A 22,550-nucleotide genomic window follows, 5' to 3' on the forward strand; every position below is an offset into this window, starting at 1 on the left:
GGATACCTCCTCCAGTTCTCCCCTGCTCTTTCTTCTCTTAGGAAAAAATCCTTTCATGACTAAGGGGAATTTGCTACAATAGTTCTGTTTGATTTTGCTACCAGTGTCTCAGTTATTCCCAAGAGTGGAAAAAGCTTGGATTATTTTTAATATCCTTTTTAGCTCTCATACAACCACATTTGTTTATTTTCAATACTTTAAAAATGATTACTGACTTTACAAAGATACAAACAAAAAATTCAAAACACAATGCAAGGAAATCCCCCCCACAAATGATTTGAGAATAAGTTGTTGACTTGATGCCCTGTGTCCCAAAATTTCTTAACCATTTATTTTTTATAAAAACATTCTACTACACAGTCAAAACAAATTCTTCAAAATGGGAAAATTTCGCTCACTTTCTGTCACAATAAAATATTCTATATTTATTGTCTACTTGTCTGTTCAAGCACTGAAATCAGCCATATCTAAGTATTCTTGATTCCTTTTAAAGAGAAAGAGAAATGATATTTTGAAGCCAGCATCTAAGCAGTATATATGCCTCTAAGCATATCTCTCAGTAGACAGAAGTTGGGAAATAAATGTGTGTATACGCACACACACACATTTACATTTATTTTTATTTTTATCTACCTATCTTTCTATCTATATGTTCCTCTAGCTCCTATCCACCCATCCATAGACACCATGGGAACTGATACCATAATACTTTCATTTCCTATCTACCAGCAAAAGCTTCATTTTGGTTTTCTCCCTTTAGATATTTGTTCACATTTTTTCGATAGTGAGAGAACTTATTCCATTTCTAGTTATTTACTTGGTCAGTTCTCCAGTATGTAATCAATCTCTCACGTTGGCCACTGCCTCCTTCCCTGTGTGGATACCCTCCTCATACAATTTGGGGTCCGATACTCTTCTTTAGGCTATTGTATCTGTCCCTTTCACCCCCCACCACCCACTTGCTCACCTAATTACTTTAGACCTAAATTGTTTAGAAAGCGAAGGAAATACTAATTTACACTCCCATTAACAGTGTAAATTAGTTCAACCATTGTGGAAGACAGTGTGGCGATTCCTCAAGGATCTAGAACTAGAAAACTAGAAATACCATTTGACCCAGCAACCCCATACTGGGAATATACCCAAAGGATTATAAATCATTCTGCTATAAAGACACATGCACATGTATGTTTATTGCGGCACTGTTCACAACAGCAAACACTTGGAACCAACCCCAATGCCCATTGACGATAGACTGGATAAAGAAAATGTGGCACATATACGCCATGAAATACTATGCAGCCAAGGATGAGGTCATGTCCTTTGCAGGGACATGGATGACGCTGGAAACCATCATTTTCAGCAAACTAACACAAGAACAGAAAACCAAACACCGCATGTTCTATGAATGAGAGTGGGAGTTGATCAATGAGAACACATGGACACAGAGAGGAGAACATCACACACTGGGGCCTGTCAGCGGGTTGGGGGCTAGGGGAGGGATAGCATTAGGAGAAATACCTAATGTAGATGACAAGTTGATGAGTGCAGCAAACAGCCATGACACGGGTATACCTATGTAACAAAGCTGCACATTCTGCACATGTACCCCAGAACTTAAAAGTATAATTTAAAGAAATGCAAAAAAGGAAAGTGAAGGAAATAGAAAAAGAACAGGCAAAGGGAGAGAGAAAACATACTTTTATAAGGCTTTTGCCATCAGTTTGTCTGCTAAGCATACCCAGCAATGATTAAAATCAATTGTTGGACAGTACCACACTAGGGTTCAGGATTAAATTTCCATTACTTAAATTTGTGGTATAAAAGTCTTTATAAAAACATTTAGTTCCTCCCTATATGTTCTTAATTCACACAGAAATGTAACTAGCAAAAATGATGGCCATGGTTCCTTTACTAACCAAGGGCTGTGATATTGAGGAACTCATATTGCTAATTCTCTCACTTCTCCATCCTCATCTTTACATTACATATCTTTGACCTATTATCAGATGTGTCATTCCCATAAATAAATGAAGAGATAGTAAAGGCATGTGGGTAGAATGAGAATTCTAGTGAGCTCCTTACAAGTTGAGAAATAATGTTCAATATGCAGTGTACTGAAGGTAAGTGTATGAGCATCTGTTACTTACATTACTCTTTCTGGTAAAAACACATGGTTTCCCTTGGGACCACAGCCATGCATTCTTAGTCCATGAATTTCAATGTAGTTTACTTTAAGTGTATATATATATCCAGGCAATTGAAGGCAGCATTGCATATCCTTGCCACAGTGAGTGTTTCAGAAATGGGCACAAAATTCAAGACAGAGTAATCAGAGTCTGAGACTAAATTTCTAGACTTTCGTTGGAGAAACAGTAAGTAATATTTCTTTTTATTTCACTTTTTCTTCTTTCTCATCCTGAAAGATATTACATAAGGCTAGAGTTGATTGCAACAATTTTGTGATCATGAAAGTGACAGGTTCTACTTGAGAAAAGAGCCAATAGCAAAGTGATAATGCAGACTGGATAACATGATTTAAATTTTTGGAGATAGATAGATAGATAAATAGAGAGACAGATAGATAGATAGATAGATAGATAGATAGATAGATAGATAGATGGATAGATGATAGATAGAGAGAGAGACAGAGATGTAGGTATATTCCCTAAGTCACTTTTATTTTGTAAGAAAAAATATACATTACTGAAAACATATAAACCTGAATTATGCAACACAGACATGAGTCAGTGGTGAGACAAAGCTTTATTTTAGCCTGAGAATGATTGGAAAGCTCATTTTATGGAAATTTAATAAAGAAAATGATCTATAGATATATGACTTTGCACCATGGATTTACACATCTAAAAGTTCTCCAGAAACGAATATTTTTCACATGTAGCAATCAAAAGGTTTTGCTTTCAAGAATAGAGGTAAAACTACAAATACAATTTTCTTCTCAACACATTGTTGTTAGTAAAAAGCTATCTCAATATAGAAAATGCTATGTAATTATAAATAGAAAAATTACAGGTCAATGATACATTCATTAGCCTAAGCTGCCATAGAGCTACATGTAGTAATCTAGTTACTGGAAAATGAAAAGTAGAAGAAGATGATTTGTTTTGGGGTAGGAATCAAGAGTTCAGTTTTGAACGGTTCCAGTTTGATATGCCTTCCCAAATGGAGATATATGAGCAAGATCTTTGAGGCATAATTTTCAGGGTCTAAATAAAGCCTCTTCCACACTCAATCTGTGTGACTTTGGTAAAATACTTTAATTTTTTGTGGCTCCATTTTCTCATCCATAAAATGTTGATGAAAATAAGGGCAAATATTTCATAGGTTTGTTATGAGAATTAAGTACAACTCATGTAATAAAACAGTGAGACAAGTACCTACAAGTGCCTGATAAATAATATTATTACTAGAGTAGTAAGAGTAGATGGTGAGAAATTGTAATGTTGAGACTATATTTTTAAAGTAGTTGACAAGATTGTCCAGCAGATTGGATAAAAAATTGAGGAAAAGGGAGGGTGCAAAGACAACTCCAAGAATTTTGTCTTAATCATCTGGGAAATGGAGTTACTATTTAATGAGATGCTAGAGACTAGTGGAGAAACAGTTTGAAATAAGTGAGGAGAGAATAAACACTTAATCAATAGACAAGTTAAGTTGAAAATGATGATTAGATATCCAGGTGGAGATGTTAACAAGAAGTTGAATATAAAATCTAGAGTTTTGATCACAGGTCCTAGCTAAAATATAAATTCAGGAGTTCTCACAATATAATTTTATTTTACATCATGGGGATGGACAAGACTGCCAACAAAAAAGTGAGTATTTATTCAAAAGGGAATAGATTCTTGATGTAGGGAACTAAAATGTTTAGAGGTTTGATGGGTATAAGACAACCAGCAAAAAGAGACTGAAGAGTAATGTAAGGTAAGAGGAAACCCAAGAGAGAGTTGTAATCCAGAAGCCAAGTCCAGAAAGCATTAAGTAGCTGTGTCAAATGAGCACAGTTTATGCAATAAGAGGACTGAGTTTTGACCATTAGTTTTGCCATTGTAGAAGTCATTGACCCGATAAGAATATTTTTGGTGAAATTGAAGGGCTAAAACTTGGATTTGGAGTAAGTTCAAGAGAGAATGAAAGAAGAGAAATGTGGCACTGACCATTACTGTTAATAATACTCTTAAGAATTTTCTGTAGATTGGAGCAGTAGCTGAAATAGAATATTTGGTTAAGGAGCTTTGTTTTGTTTTGTTATTTTAATATGGGAAATAATATGTTATGTGTGCTAATTGGAAAGATTCATCAGAGTGGGAATATCTGATGATTCAGAAGAGAGAGAGGACACATATAGAAGCAAAGTCCTTAAATATTGGAAAGAAGCTCTAGTGCCCAAAGGAGAATGTGGCCTTATATGCAAGCATAGACAAATCACCAGGGAAACTGACAGAAATTTAGATTATATGCATTCAGATGAAGGTTGGTGTTATATTTGGTAATGGGAGCATGTGAAATTTCTTTCTTGGTTGTTTCTAAGCTGTCAGGGAACTAAGAAGTCCTCAGCTGAGAATGAAGAACACGAAATTGTGCTGGGAGTTTGAGGAGAGAGGAGAAGATATAAATAATATTCACCTAGGAGAGTGACAGAGACATTCCTTTTTTTAGAGAATTGTAATGGAATGGTCCAGGAGTATCATGGGCCCACCTGAAGTTTGTGGTGATGAATTTAATATGAGAAAAGTCAGCATGGATGAGTGTTTTTATTTGGTCACATTTAGGTGTTCATGTTTTCTATTCGACATTGCTAACCTATGCCACAGCTTCTTCACCAGCATGGATGCTGTTGCTGTTCTCACATGTGTAACTGTGCCACTTGTGATATTTAATTGTATTTGGTAAGGGACGCCCAGAGTGCTGGCAAAACATTATTTCAGAGTATGTCTGTGAGGGTACTTCGCGAAGAGCTTAGCATTTGTATCAGTAGATTAAGTAAAAAGCCACCCTCACCAATGTGGATGGGCATCAACCAAGCCGTTGAGGGGCCAGATCAAACAAAAAGGCAGAGAAATGAAGAAGTCTCTCTCTATATATCTATCTGTCTCCTTGAACTGTGACATCCACCTTCTTCTGCCCTGGACATCTTGGTTCTTAGGGCTTTGGACCACAAGAGTTACACCATTAGCTCTTCTGACTCTCAGGCCTTAAGACTCAGACTGAAATAGATCACTGACTTTCCTGGTTCCCCAGTTTGTAGATGGCAAATCATGGGACTTGTCAGCCTCCATAATTGTGTGAACCAATTCTTATAATAAATATCATCACACACACACACACACACACACAACACACACACACACACACCCTATTGGTTCTGTTTATCTGAAGAGCCATGACTAGCATACCACTTGTTCTCCCCGTGCATCCACACTGACAAAGATGTGTCTATTTACTAGAAGGTCACACTCTAAATACTGAGAAAAATAAACAAATAAATGTAGTTTTAGAAGCTCTAATAAAAATATTCATTCTACAAAACGTCTTCTTACTTGACCTCCTGTAGTATTTGTATTTTCACTATTGAATATTATTCATTAAAGTTAAAGCACAGTTTTTTCAGAAGCCTCCAAATAAAAACAAATAACTGCAGAGAGGTTAAACACACACACACACACACACACAGAAAATCAGAAAATGTTATCTGGATAAGAATGTATATTTGCCAGTTACATAGGAAGGTTTTCAATCCCCTTTAAAATTTAATTTAAAATATTAAATTTTAATCTATTTAAGTTGTTTGAATTCTTCCAATTCCTCAGACGCTACTCAGTTTTGTTCATTGTGGCTATATGATAGAATTCCCTTTATCTACCAGCTTCTCCCAGGATCATTTTTCTTTTCCCTTCTTTATTTTCCTCCAAAAGAATAGGATAGAATCCGAGAGGATATTTTGAATGGAAATACACATTTTATACTAGATTAACAGGCAACTCAAAAATTCGAATTTTTCATAGTTTTATCTTTGTTTTCATTTGCAAAAAAACTATGGTTCCTTTGAGCATCCTATGAGCATTTCCTTTTCATTTTTAAGTCACAAGAACGTGAGGGATTCAAAAGGAGATAATTATATCATAGTGACTTGAAAGACAATGCAAAATAAAAGTAGCCTTCCCTTCAAGAAAACTATATATCTACATTTTATAATTGAGGAAACAAAGCAGAAAAACAATTATTCTTGGAAAATGTCTGATCTTTATTATTTAAAAATTTTCTCTCTACTTAAGGAGTCGATTTGAAAAGGCAACAGAAAAAAAGGCAGTTGTCTAAAAGGAACGTATGAGTTTTTTAAGAGAAATGATTCTCCGAGAAAAAATAATCAGTAAAAGCATTCAGGGGACATATAAAACAGCCAGGCTATAATGGGTTACCATCAGCAAATGATATAAAAGGAAGCCTGTCACAGATTACAAATGATTAGGAAATCAAAGCACACAGTGGGAAGGTGGGCTTACTACTTCTCAGGGGCAGGAGAAAAAGTAATGTTTGACAAGGTGAGGGTTGGAACTCCTAATAGCTACTTTACTTCACTCATTGACAATTATAATAGAAAAGGAATGCTCAGGGCAATAAGAGTTAATGAGAAAAACATGTAACTGGGCAGAATTTGAACCATATTTAGTTTAAAAAATATCTCAGTAGCTTGGAATGTATTCAAATCAGCAGAGTATATAATATTCACTGTAGAATATTAATTTTTAGAAAGGCAAATCTAACAATAGAATCATTACAACACATTCTGGAAAACTATAGTTAATTTTTAAACTGTTCTTTCTTATTTTTAAATCAGAAAACTCTTACATAAGCCTTATAAGAATATAGTAAAAAATAAAAACTCTCTTTTATCACTGTCTACTCCTCAGGTAGCCATTATTGACAGTTTGGTGGGTATACTTCTTTTTTTTTTTTTTAGACAAAATTTTGTTCTTGTTCCCCAGGTTGGAGTGCAATGGTGCAATCCTGGCTCACTGCAGCTTCCACTTCCCGGGTTCAAGTGATTCTCCTGCCTCAGCCTCCCGAGTAGCTGGGATTACTGGTGCACACCACCACGCTTAGATAATTTTGTATTTTTAATAGAGACAGGGTTTCACCATGTTAGACAGGCTGGTTTCAAACTCCCAACCTCCGGTGATCTGCCTACCTCAGCCTCCCAAAGTGCTGGGATTACAGGCATGAGCCACCGTGCCCGGCCTGGTTGGTATACTTCTGATCTTTTTTAGAGTCCTAGGCACATACCACAAAAATATAAATACATTACATATAAAACTCCATTTGCAAATTCAGGTCTATGAGAAAATTAACTTTAATTTTTCTATCACAAATGTCAAACTTTACATAATGTCCCAATTAGAAACCTAATCTCCATTTGTTGTGGGTTTCATACCCCTTTCTCTAGGGTCATGTTTTAGGTCTAGGAAACTTGTCAAGGTATCAGGAGTGGGACCTGAGTGCTGTCACCTAAGCTAACCCAAAAGTGGACCCAAATTTCCATCCAGTCTTTGATTTTCATTTCATTGAGATTATTACCATGTCCTCCCTCATTTTCAATTCCAAGATCTTTTTATTTCCACTTGTTCTCTATGTCATATCCCTTCTCTTTTGGAGGATGTATCTCACCTAAATAATTGCAATAATCTCTTAGCCATTCTCCTGTTACTTCTATTTCCCACACAGTCTGTTTCACATGTCAGTCACAGTGATCTAAAACATGAGCCGAATTATGTCAGTCTTCTGCTTAAAGCCCTCCAGTGTATTCCTGCCTCACCTAAGCACAGTCCAAGTGCTTTTAATGACCTGCAAGGCCCTGTAATTTGGTCTCTACCAATATGACTAATCTTCTGGCACTTTCTGCTTCTTACTCTGCTTTGCCCCACTAGTCTCCTGCCAGTTCTGTGACCCCACCAGGCATGCTTCCACCATAAGACCAGCCATTCTACTGTCCTTTTGTTCCTTCTGCCTACCATGCTCTTCACACAGATGTCTTTCAGGTGTTTATTTTAAAGTCATTTTCTCAATAAGGCTCTCCACAGTTGCTCTATCTGAGCTTTTGTTCTTATTCTAGCAATATTTTATATATTCCTTAGAAATTTTCACTAATATCATGTGTATTTTATTTTTATTGTTTTTGCTGTCCATTTCAAACACTACAGTTTAAGTTCTATGAAGGTAATTTTATTCATTACTATTTTCTCAAGTTCCTGTAATATGTCTAGAATATAGGTAGCAGGCCTTCAAGAAATATACTTTGAATGAATTAATGAGTGAGTGAATAAATGAATCAGTAATGAGAAACTTACTACTGATCCTATCTCATGCTAAGGTCATAAGAAATGCTTCAAGACTTTCCTAGGCCTATTTTTACTCAATAATTTATTTATTTTTCTACCATGTTAAACATGAGAAGCTGATAGAGATTTTGCTTTTTTGGGATCTTGCCTGGAAATGGCTAATAGATCATTTCCATCCTAAGATTGCTAAACATGCCTAGAAATTTCATCAGATAGAAAATGTTGCAGCCACAAAACCCTATTTCAGGAACCTATCACCAACCAAGTTCTCCTTACCTTTAATCCTTTCCTAGTTCTTGGAATACTTTCATAGAAGGAGCATGGTGAAAACTTGATGTATTTTGGCTTATTTATTTAATAAACACCTATATCAAGAAATAAAATGGCTAGCATCCCTTTGCCTTCCTCCCATCCCCCTAAAGGTAACTGCCATCTTGATATTTGTAATAATTATTTTATAGTTACTTATAACTGTATTTATATTTTAACTTAATATAATCATTCATTTGTTTTCTTTTGTAACCTTCTGTTTTCCCTCAAATTTGTTGGTAAGATTCCTCCATGTCATGGTATTTAATCACAACTTAGTCATTTTTGTTGCATAGCATTCTCTACACTGTGATTGATTTAGCTATTCTATGTTGATGGCTGAGGGTTTTTACACTTTCTTTTCTTCTATTATAAAATATGTTAATGTGCATAATATTGTGTATGTATCCAGGTGAACAGGGGCAAATATTTTTCTGAGTCATATCTATGAGAAAATTGCCTAGACATAGAGAATTGCAGATTTTCATATTTATTATACAATAATAAGCAATTCTTCTGGAATTTCAAATCAATTTTGAAATATTCTTATTGCTCTATGCTCCTTAATACTTGTTAATGTTAGATACTGTTTATATGCAATTTTAATAGTTGTAAAATAAATTCTACTTGTGGGCTTTAATTAGCACTTTCTGAATTTCTAATGAGATTGAGTGATCACCTTTTCCTATGTTCACTAAGTATTTAAACTTTTTTCTGTAAATATTTACTAATACATTTGGCCCAATTTTCCATTATTGTCTGTCTTTCTTCATAGAATTGTGAACACTAGTCCTGTGTCAATTATATGTGTCTTAAATATCTTCTTCTACATGTAGCTTGTCTTTTATCACTCTGTATGGTATGTATTGATTTTAAAAAATCTTCATCTGGAACTTTTTGTGTTTATTTTTAAGAAAACATACTTAGGCAGAGGATATTAATATATTATTCCATGTCATATTCTGAAAGATGAGTAATTTTGACTTTCATATTAAGACTAATTTACCTTGACTTGCTTTTAAGGTATCGTCTAAGGCAAGATTTCAATACCATTAATTTGCATATAAGTTTTCAATTTTGTCATAGTATTTACTGAAAAGCCTACTCTTTCTGACTGATCTTTCAATAAGCCCTCTGTTACATATTGAGTTCCCATATATGTGTAAGAGGATATTTATAGTTAATATTTTGTTTCATCAGTCTATTTCCAAATATTACACTGCCTTTGTAACTATAGCTTATATTATGTCATGTGTTGATATCTTTCATCTTGTCCTATTTCTTTAATAGTGTTTTGACCTTTGACCTTATTTGACCTCTGCACATATTTTAGAAATCAAATATGAATTTAGGAAGAGCTGAAATCTTTGTAATATTGAATTCTTCAATTTATGATTATGATATATATCTCCATTTATTTATTCTTAAATTTCACTCAATAAAATTGTATGATTTTATAACAACAATTTGGTGAAGAATGGAGTAGTTTGAACATTCAGATGTTCCCATTGAGAACAAGTATGACTAAAACAATTTTTAAAAAAATTGTTTCACTAAAAATTGAAGACACTGGAGAGCTACTAAGGAAACCAAGAATTAAGGAGAACAAAGTCTGAGGAAGGAAGAACTGTGCAGTGACACAAGCCACTCTTTTATGAGAAATCCATATAAACAGCTAATTTAAAATGACGAATGAATAGTAGGTAGTAGGTCTCATGGAACTGGAAGCAAGGAATACGGACATAAGAATTTACAAGTTGGAAAGCTGATTCCAGTTAATGTGCAGGTTTATCTTCATACATTTACTACACTCAGAAGCTTAGCATGTAAGGTAGACAAGATGCCAATCCAAACACCTCAGAAAATCATAGTGGATTATTTGCATTCTTGTGCAGGTGGTAAGTTTTACAGTTCTTCAGCACTTTATACGTTCTATTAATTTTTGGCCTTGACATATCTAATGAGAAGTTTTCATTCAGTTGAATCACTGCTTCCTTGTATGTAATGGGTCATTTTTTGTTTGGGTACTATCAAATATATTCTTTATTTTTGGTTTTCAATAGTTTGATATGATGAGCTAAAGTGATATTTGAGTTTATGCTGTCTTGGATTCACTAAATTTCTTGAATGTGTTCATTTCAGTCTGTCATCACATTTGGGAAGATTTCTGGTATTGTAATTAGTTCTTCAAATATTAATTCTGTGTTTTTAAACCTTTTTTTTTCTTTTTCTGTGGTTTCACTTACTCTTATGTACCTTTCAATAAGATTATTTCTCAATCCCTGAGGTTCTGTTCATATTTTAAGGTGTTTCTTGCCTCTTTTTATGTTAAATAATGTATTTGAATCTATCATATATTTCCCTGAGTATTTCATAATCTGCATCATTCTATTAGTTTTATCTAGTGGATTTTTTATTTCAGATATTATATTTTTAAAAAATTTACATTTTAAAATATTCTGCTTCTTCACTGATATGGCCTTTTTGTTTATTATAAATATATTCTTTAACTTTATTGAGCACAGATACATTAACTGTTTTAAAATCATTTTATTATCATTCTAATGTTTAGATTACCTTGAGATTGGTACCTGTTGATTATTTTTTCCATGAAGAATGGTTTACATCTTCCATTTTTTCATGTTGGATAATTTTGAATTGATATTGTGAATGTTATGTTCTACAGACTCTGGATTTTGTACTATTCTTCCAGTGAGTGTTGATATTTTCATGCTTGCTTTGGTGGTTGCTCATATTTCATTTAAGAATTATTTCAGTCTGCTCTACTCATGCATGGCCCAGGAGTCAGTGAGAGACATAAGCATTCTTCTTATACAGAATGTGGTATCCCCCTTTATGGCTTTGCCTTTCCAGTATTATCTTCATCATATGATAACTTCACTAATCTTCCATCCAGAAATATGTATTCTATTGGAGTTTCAGCTTGACTCTACCATCACCACATGGGAAAGCCCACAAAAATAAATAACTCACTCTATATTATTCATTTTATCTGTCTTTTAATTTTTCTTCAAAGTCTACATGCTTCAATAACTTTTCCAGAGCCCTCCAGTAATGGATTTGTGTTTTGCCAGAAGTTATAGAAAGGTCAGTTTTTCAGGAAATCATGGCCCTACAAAAGAAACAAAACTCCATCCCTCTTTCATCATTTCTATAGTATCTCTGCTGGAATTTCTAATCTATTTAAACATTTTGTTCAGTGTTTTACTAGTTCCTTTAACATATATGTCTTAGTTATATTAAAGTCTTTGTCTATTCCAATACCTAGGGCTCTCTGGGTGTCTTTCTATTAACTGTTAATTTTATCTTAAATTGAGGCCATATATTCTTGCCTCTTTGCATGCACCATAATTTGATACTATGCTAGACAGTGTATAAAAAACAAAAGAGTGAAGAAAATACTATCTATCCCAGAAAAGGACATGGCAGAAAAGCACATGGCCCTTTTCCTGACACATTGCTAGTACCAGGGGGCTGAGTCAACATAAGCTGCTTTTGAGCTGGGTCTGAGCTTTGACAGAGATTTAGTTAGAGTCAATTCACCACATGCTTCAAATACTTTGAGGGCACAATCAGAATTTTATTTTCAGTAGAGCTTTGACTCTCAGCACTTGTAAGACTTTGCCTATCTCTTTGTACGCAAGATCAGCAACCACCCTTCATACTGGTAGGACACATTTCTCTATAGGCTACCCACCAGTTTTTGTGTTTTGGTTTGTTTGTTTGTTTGTTTGTTCTACTGGTGAATTATCTTTGTTCCTGTGACCTCTCCTGGGCTTTATTTATTTATTGCCTTGGAAGGACTCTCTTCACTCTGTCACCCTTCCCCTAGGCTTTGGAGAGCCATTTCTGTGTTCTTGGTGAAGGCTCAGTGGCTTCAGAGGAATTTTTCTCAGGGCTCCTGTTGAGTCCCCAGCCTGTAGAGGTATGTTACATTTTATTCAGTGCCATGTACCCCAGAGAGATTTTCCTTATCTCTTAACCTGTCCCATGTATGTACTTGAAATACACCAAGACAAAGGGCTTTATTTAGACTCTCCTTCCTCCCCACCCGGGCTTAAATGCACTATCCTTTGTTCATCCAATGAACGTCTGCGGAACTTGCTGGTGGGTGAATGCAGACTTATATTACCAGGCTCTTCCAGATGTTAATCCTTCATGCCAGGCTTCTTGTATTGCTAAAAGTGTGGCTAGTTTTTTCTTAACTCATCCGTAGAGAACTCCTTTTCTTCCTGCCTGAAAGCAGTCATGGGCTTCTCCTCTTGTAGGAAAGATTCATAACTTTCTGCATCTTCTAGGATGTTTTTTTAGTGTCTTTGCTTATTCTGCTCAGTTATGATAAAGAAAAACAAAAATCAAACAAAAAGATAAAAAGCCAAATAATTTTACCTTGTCTATCTTGCTATCATTCTTAGGATACAAACAAGAGTAGTATGTTATTATTATTATTATTACACACTAACTGGAAGCAGAATTGGATTTATGGGTATTTAGTTTCCAAAATAGTTGTTTTGTCTGGTGTTTATGAAAATATATAAAGAAATTAAAATCCAACATTTCACCATCACAATATTCCCAACATTTCTACTAATTTTCTATTCTTCTTAATTTTTTTAAAATTTTTACATTAAAAAATTATTTCCATAGGTTTTGGGGAATAGGTGATATTTGGTTACATGAGTCAGTTCTTTCGTGGTGATTTGTGATATTTTGATGCACCAATCTATTTTTTTCTTTTTTAATATTTTAACTTTTATTTTAGGTTCAGGGGTACATGTATAGGATTGGCATATAGATAAACTTGTGACTCAGGGGTTTGGTCTATGGATTATTTCATTACTCAGGTATTCAGCATAGTACTTGATAGTTTTTTTTTTTTCTGAACCTCTCCCTCTTCCCCCACCTCTACCCTCAAGTAGGCCCCAGTGTCTGTTGTTCTTTTCTTTCTGTCCACGTGTCCTCATTATTTAACTCTCACTTAAAAGTGAGAATGTGCAGTATTTTGTTTTCTGTTCCTATGTTAGTTTGCTAAGGATAATAGCCTTCAGTTTCATTAACGTTCCTGCAAAGGACACAATCTCATTCTTTTTTATGGCTGCATAGTATTCCATGGTGTATATGTATCACATTTTATCAAGCCTACTGTTGATAGGTATTTAGGTTGAGTTCATGTCTTTGCTATTGTGAATAATGCTGCAATGACCATATGTCTTTATGCTAGGAAAAATTATATTCTTTTGGGTATATACTCAGTAGTGGGATTGCTGGGATTTTTATATATCAAAAAATTAACTTTTTATTTGTTCATATTTATTACAAATTTTTAGACAAGCATCAAAAATCTCAACTGAAAACAACATGAATAACAACTATATTTCAACATTACATGTGGAAAATTAATTTTTACATTATGAGATTTTAGGAAATTTCTATTAAAGATTAATTTGAAAATAACATTTATTTTGATTTCATTTGAAATAATTTACTATAGGTACTTATAGTATTCCTATAAGTACATAAATAATATGTACTTATTTTATTCCTTTTATATTTTAAAAACACTAAAAAACTTATAGAAAATCAAAACATGCGAAAAGGAAACAAAAGAAAATATATAAACTAAAGGTAGAAATAAAGCAAATATAATGCAGTACATGCTAAAATTTGATAAATAATATTAATATTAGATAAATCTTAGATATATAGTAATAACTAATATAGTTTAATGTTTTCTAAGCTTTGTACTTTTTATTATTCTGTTATCTTTTTCATATCTTAAGAAATAGCCAACAGATTGAGAGTCAAGCATTTGAATGGTGTCTCATTTATTAATCTTTTTTCTTTCTACTCCAAATTCACTCTTCATTGTCTACTTGTGATACTAGAACATTTACTTCTCACTAGCTGGCATGATGGAAGCTTCATTATGAGTAGGTACTCTATTGTGTGATTTTTCTTAGCAAATTTCCAAACATCCCTGTGGAGAGCTTCTCCTGCCATTCCATAGAGTAGTTTCCCAGTGAGTTCCACTCCCAGTGGTACCTTCCCATGGATGGCTTCCCCCAGCATCTCACTGGATGACTTCACAATGGGTCTTGCACTGTGACACTTCTCCATGGGTAGCTTTCCAGTGAATCTAAAGAGGTGGCACTTCAGTAACTTCTCCCCCATCAAAGAGATCCTCTATAAAGAGGTCTGGACCTCAGCCCTGGATGTCATGCCTCTTCCAGACATGTTCTTACTTGGGTGCTCTGCAACAGCCCTGTGGGTTATGGTTACTCCATATACCTTCGATTCCTGTATTCTTTAGAATATGCTTAGTATCTACTTTAAATACTCCAATTTGCTGTTCAGATCAATGGATAAATTCCTCTCCCCTGCTAGGATTCTAATAGATGGAAGCACTACCAAAGAAATAGGACAGGCTCTATTCATTGTTTATTCTGGCTTATTCAACCCAGAAGAAAGAATAATATGTTAATAAGCAACATTACTAGAATGCCGTGGAAATCTAGAATGGCAATATTGAAGAGCTGTAAAAATTAAGAGAGATATCACAAACTTAATCTGAAGATGGAGAATCTAAAATCAGTTTATACTCAGGGATATAGGTAAGCAAATTTAGAGAATTATTTTAATGGGAATTAGGAATCAAAGATTAGGTATTAAATACAGAGTCATTCTCAGGCACTAAGAAAAGGCAATATTCCATTATTAGCATTACTAAAACATTAGTCTAGTTATCAAGATATATCAAAGCGTAAGAAACAAGTGTGGGCATAATTTCCAGAATAACAAGTGATTTTAATTTTCTATTTATACATTTGCACATATTTTATTATTTTCTATGATTTACATGTATTATGATATAATCAGGAAAACATACATTTAAGAATATTTTAAACAAATGTCATGGAATATAAATATTTAGTTATGTCTCAAAGCAAGACAAAAGTCCAATGATTGGTACTAATCTTCACAGCTATAGGGTACAACAAGCAAGAATGCCTTAATGCTCACAGTAGTGTTGATTTAGGCTACTAAAATATTTTCTACAAAATTTAAGAATTATGACAAATTGTGACAAAATTGGGATGGTACGTAGAGATATCAACTTTTTCCAGAGTTGGGGTAAAGGGGGAGTATGCTGTGGAAACTGAAAAATAACTAGATATCACAACCGAAACTTCCTTTTTTATCACTGATTCTTATAATAATCTGGTATGAATAAATTGGAAATATATATATACACAAACATATATTTTGTGTGTATATATACACATTATATATCTGTTTCCTGTGCACATGTTTATATACATATTTATATACATATAAATATATGTTAATAAATATTCATTCTTAAATGTATGTTTTCCTGATTAAAACGTCTTCTTTATATCAGTGATGAATCTAAGAATATGAATCAATGTTTCTTATAGTACCTAGTACTGAAGAAAAAGAAACAAAAAAGACATCCATTTTCCCATCCTGCCAATTCCATTTATTTTTCCAACTTTTGGAATATTGTCTTAGACATCCTAGATCTACTTTACTTCAGCCTTTTACTCCTAAATATTTTGAACCTACTATATTAAAACAGAACCATAAATATTTTCTATGGCAAGCCTGAAACTTTCAATTGGCAATAAATTGACACAGGAAATTATTAATCCATTCAACAACCATTTTTCTTGTATGTCTGTATGTGCTAGGACTTAGACATTGTATTAGGCAAAGAAGACCATGATGTCTACTTAAGAATGTATGATCTTTTGGATATTAGTTCTCAAATGTGGAATTCAATCCAGACTTAAAAATAAAACTATCCTAAGATAGTGTAGGATTACTAAAGTATATGCTTACTTCATAGCATTTGATTGTAATTTGAAAATTGGTTATTTAATTAATAATCTAAAAAATTATCTAACAGAATTCATGAAATGAGCAATAGGCATTAGAATTTACTTCCTATCATTTAACTCATTAGTTCTTTTACAGATGTTTCTGTATCCCAATGGTTGGAGATGTGAGAAAATTGCCAGGATTCTATGTGCTCTCAAAATTGAAGCCCTTAGCTTTTGTGAAGCCAAAAACTGTCTCATTAAAATTAAAATGATTCTCCCATAATAAATATATATTTTCCCAGTAAGTTCAACTCTCTACAGAACAATTTTTAAATTTCCATTTGTTTTTTTTACTAAAACTAAAATAAATCTTGTACTCCTACCATTATATTTGACAAATAAGTAGATAAATGAGAATAAATCAGGCATTTTGGGAAATTCTTTTAGGAGAAGGCAATCCAATCTTTACATGAATATCTTGCTCCAGAGAACAGCATATTCTGTTGTATCAGAGTCCACTGAATAGATAATAATCTAACTAAATCAGTTTATAAACTTAGGAAAATGCCTTGGAAATTGAGAATATGGGACATTATATTGATCCATTTTTTTACCCAAGTGGTTTGTTGACTGAATTGACCAAATTGACTGTTTTGTTTTTCATCTTAAAAACAAAGGTAACAAATTACATAAAATCATGAAGTAACTTTCACGGGACAAAACCAATGAAATTAAAAGTAATAAGGACAAGAATTATAAGACTTAGCAACACATTTAAAATATATATCAATAACTAGCCTCAATATGGGATATATAAACGTTATCCTTATTAAATCCTGAATGAGCCAATCATTAAATAAGTCAAGCTTTGCTATGCCTGGTTTATTGTACTTGGATAAGAAAAGGGTATGTACTATTTTAGTTTTCTCTTAAGGCAAATGTAATAACAGCCACATTTTATTCATACTCCCTATTTAGCCACAATTTTGAAGCCATATATTAAGCTAGAAAAGATACCATGTGAATATCTTTGAAAGACCTCTGAAGGCATTGTATCATTCTAGTTACTTTGTCTCAGGGCACTGATACTTTCACTAGTTGGAATCCAGCCCAGTAAAATAGATCTTAAAGTAATTCTCTCTAAAATGTTGATATTTTGATATTTTAAATGCGACCTGAAGATCAGCAGCATTGTTATCACCTACAAACCTCTTAGAAATGCAGAATTTCAGGCCCTTCCCAGACCTTCTTGATTATAACCTGTATTTTGGCAAAATCCCTGGGTTTTATGTGTGCACATTAATTTTATAGTATGGATTTCCCTTCTTATCCCATACTCCCTCAAAAAATAGTTTTCTTTTGACAGATATAACTACCAGGCATAAATTACAGAGTGCACACTAGACTATAAAGGCATGCTAAATCATATGACTCTAAATGCACAGCCCTAAATCTATAGAAAGACTGAACTATGTGGCACCAAATGAGATTTAGTCTTTTAATTGTAGTGGAAGTACATAATTATTAACAGCTTCCAAAGTTCTACTACCTTTTTCAACTGATTCTCTTCAGACACAAGTGAGGAAATGTTTATTCGGAATTTTAGCATTGGCAATCTAATCCTCTAATACTCTGAAAGGAATGTAATATCATGGTAACAATGAGAAACAAGTTTTTATAACAGAAAAATAAATTGTGAGAATCAGGAGGCAAGGATTCTGATTCTGGTTCTGGAATTTCAACTAACTAGCTGTTTAAGGGTAAGACATACCTTATATTTGATTTTGTATTTCTTATGCTGAGATCCTCCACTGAAACTTAAGAGGCATATGATTACATTTTTGTTAAATAAATTAAATAATAAATCAATCTTAAAAGTCAATCTTAACTCACTTTTTCTCTCTGGGTTTAAAGTTTTATTAAATGTTTACTAAGAAGGTTATTTTAAGACTTCTTTCCAGATTCTGTGAATTACGCTATTGTTTCATACAGTGACACTTGGGGGAAATTGTCATCATATCAAATTGTGAGTTTCTAAGTCTACCTCTAAGTGACACCTACATAGCCAGCTGAAAAGTATAAACTTAAAACATTTTACCTTTTAAAAAATAATATAGTATTTTGTTTTGTTTTACCCATTTCCTTGTGTGGTTTATTTTTAAGGTTCCTTGATCCTGTGTAGTTAAAGGCAGAACTAAGAAGTATGATAAAAGTGAGTGATAATTAAGACCTTTAATCTATTGAGCATTTTATTTTGTTACTGTTTATTGCTGACATTGGTAGTGGAAGGGCAGTTGATTATTTAAAAGAATCCAGTTTCAGCTTTCTACATATGGCTAGTAGTGGGGTGGGGGGAAGGATAGCATTAGGAGATATACCTAATGTAAATGACGAGTTAATGGGTGCAGCACACCAACATGACACAGGTATACATATGTAACAAACCTGCACATTGTGCACATGTACCCTAGAACTTAAAGTATAATTTAAAAAAAGAAAAAAAAAAGAATTCAAGTTTGGAGAAGCTTGAGTTTGTCATTAATGACCTCTTCAAGAAACCACAGAAGCAAGTGCTAACAGATTTGCTATTACTTGAGCTTATGCATTTAGCAGGACCTTGGTGAGATTCTACTTACATACATTCAATTTCTGCAAGTTCTACTAAATGGCAGTAAAGTAGTTAATGTAAGTTTCATGCAGAGCAGCAAAAAGCTATTTTTCTGCTCTCCCCTCTGTGGTTTTGGCCTCCAGTGAAATCCTGCATTTAGGCTGTAGCATCACATTTCAAAAAAGACATAGACATAATAGAGAGAGTTCAGAGGAGAGCCACAAAGATGATAAAGGGCTTAGGAAATAAGACCTATGTGGAAAGGTTAAGGCAAATGGGCATCTTCTGTCTGGAGAAAACAAGACTGGGGAGACACATAACTGTCTGCAAATTCGTTAAGGGATGTTATAAAGGGCAGAGGGACCAATTCTCATTAGTCAATGAGGACAGAACAAGAAGTAATAGGCTTCAATTCCAGAAGGGAAAATTCGAGTTAAATATAAGGACTAACTTTATAACAATATGAATAGTTGGGAATGGCACCAGCTGCCAGGGGAGATTGTGGAATTGTTATCATTGGAGAGATTCAAGGCTGAATCCCCAAACCCATCGATCAGGAATGACTTAGTAATAATAAAATCAATCCTGCTGTGATCCACAGGGATAGATTAGTGCCCCAGCATAGGTCCTTCCAACCCAAATGATTATATGATTAAGATACCAGTACCCAGGGGGAATTGATCTGTGTATAAGGGAGGGAAGAGAAACTCTTTACAAGCTACAGCTGTAAATCTGAAAATTAAGTAATCCAGAATGTTTAGCTAAAGGAGAGGCTGAATCTGCTTAGGAGATATGTAGGGATACTGAATTAAAGAGCTCAGCCATTTTCTAAAATATTAATCTGACTTTTGTCAATATTTCAAATAAAAAATTGAGACCCATACTATTATTAATTTTCCTTATTAATGTTCATCTTGGATGCTACACAATATTTAATTTATTAATAGAAAATCAGGACAGAATGTTCTCAAGGTCTGAAAAATAAAAACTAAGATGAAGATAATTTTAGAAAGATAATTTTCTCATGTCAGATTCAGGGTCTTCCCTTTCATTTAAAAATGTGTTTAAATGATATTTTTAGTTCAGACGTTCCCGAGGGTTTTACTTGATGGGCATGTGACTCTAATTAACATCCAAGACCCACATAATTCAATCACAGTATGGGTCAAAATTACCAATTCAATTTTTTAATCTTAAAATTGATTTCTATGTCTGTGATGCTCAGAGTGAATTTCAGCAGTATCCAAAGCATTCTATTTTTCCATGCTCTCTGCCTTATCATACTGGCCTTTGCTAACACTACAGTAGTTATTTTTGAATCTTTGAAAAGTCAGTGTTTAATTTTTTAGTTTACTTTTCCCCTTTCTACCTTTCCAGTTTACCTTTAAGAAAAAAAACACACTGCCGTTTTCTTCCCCTGAGGAGGCTGTGTTATTACTACCGTCCACATATCAGGGTTACAGCACTTGCAGTAGTAGATCATCCCTGTGCTGTCATGGTGATGATATATGATGGAAAAAGCCATCCATCTGAAAATCCAAGGCACAAAGGCTGAAGCAATAATGAGGTAGCCCAGCACAAACCCGGCATGCACAGCACTCGGCATTTCCCCCCAAATAAAAGTGGACTACCCTGTAAATTGAAAATCTTTAGATAGGAAAACTCTCAAAGATAATTTTTTTCTTTTTTCTTTTTCTCTCTTTTTTTTTTTTTTTTGTGCTTAGAGGCCTTTTATGTCTCCCAAAACATTAAAAAATAATGCGTTTCTGAATTAAAAACCTTTCAAAGCTTCTCACTTCCATTTCTCTTTTATTTTTTCCTTGTCTCTCATGTCTATTTTTTCTCTTCCTATTCCCATTGCCACTACCCTAAACTTACCCTTTGAGTATCATTCTCCTGGACAATTAAAGTGATCTTGATCTCTTTACTTTCTCTGTTCTGTTTGTGTTCTAATTCTCTTTTCATAACTGGCTAGGCTAATCCTAGTAAATGCTACATTTATTATATGACTCTTCTAATTAGAGATTTTGTAATTTCCCCCATGAACTATCAAATACAGTTCAATTCCATAGCTTTGCATTCAAAGCCCTCAAAAATCTAGCTTCAGCTTATTTTTCCAGCTGTAAAGAACACCGCCTTTTTATCTATACTCTACATTGCCAAATAAGAATACTGGTCTTTCAGAATATGATTTGAACTTTTTGTATCTTTATTCTTTGGTTGACCCTCCGGCTGAGATGCAAAATAAATAATGGGCAAGCTTTATTCTAAGACATACCTGAATTCAAATGTACTTCCTATAACCTAAGACAAGTTGCTTTATTTCTCTGGCCCTCAATTTTTTCAACAGTAAAATGGGGATAACAACCCCATTGCAAAGAATTCTTGTGAGGCATGAATGGTGAAATGCATACAAAACTCTTAGCATAGAGGCAGGGGCATGATAGTCAACAAAGTCAGCTCCTCTTATATGGTTTTGACATTATTATTAATTTTTCAGTGCATTCTTTAATGGTGATTCTGATGCCATTCACTCAGTGAGGCTTCTCTATTTTGTTTTTCATTTCTCTTGAGCTTTCCTTCTTGTGATCTAGTATAACATTTTTTATTGCATCTGTTGTATCCTGCCATGTTTTATATTTTACATATAGGAAACGTAAGTCTTCCCGAAATGTCTTAGGGGTAGAAACTGTCTTTTGTATATATCTATAGCCAACTAGAAATAATCAATACATAGAAGGTACTCAGCACATTTTCAACAAATCAGTGTTTTAATACATATCCTTTTTGCCCAGTGCCAAGCCTAAAAGGGTTTTGGATTTACTTGAAATAATACCTAACCATGATGGAATAAAATTTCGAGCACATTTTCGTTGGCAGGACAGATTAACGCAATTTGAACCATTTGTTATACTCTCAGGACAAAAGTAAAGTAAAAGCTACTTTTTGTGGTAAGATTCACTTTTTACCTTCATCACTTAAATATTTTTTAATGAAAAAAAAGCCACTAAAATCTTGAAGCCTACTGGTGCATCCTAATTTAAATAACTATATTTCTTTAAGCTACTCTTCACTTAATACTATTTATAAACCTTAGCAACTGGTATGCTGGCAAACTTGTACTCATTTCAGAAGGTTTTAGCCCTCTAATTTTAATCCCTTTTGTTATAAGAAATATGTCTCCAACTCTACCAGTTGAAAAGTGTATCATTTTCTAGGTCCCTTCAAGTACTTTATATAAATTGACCCCTTCGAAAACTTAATAAAGTTAGCATCTAAATTTTCTTTTTCGGTTCCAAGTTCAATCCTAGCATCATCAACAGTAAAATAGAAATGGAATCTAAAAGGACAATAATTTTTCCTGGCAGTCAATGGATGAATAATAAAGTATTTTTGCTTCTAAGATCATCA

Source organism: Homo sapiens, chromosome 4 (assembly GCF_000001405.40).
Source record: "Homo sapiens chromosome 4, GRCh38.p14 Primary Assembly".
Classification (NCBI taxonomy): Eukaryota; Metazoa; Chordata; class Mammalia; order Primates; family Hominidae; genus Homo; species Homo sapiens.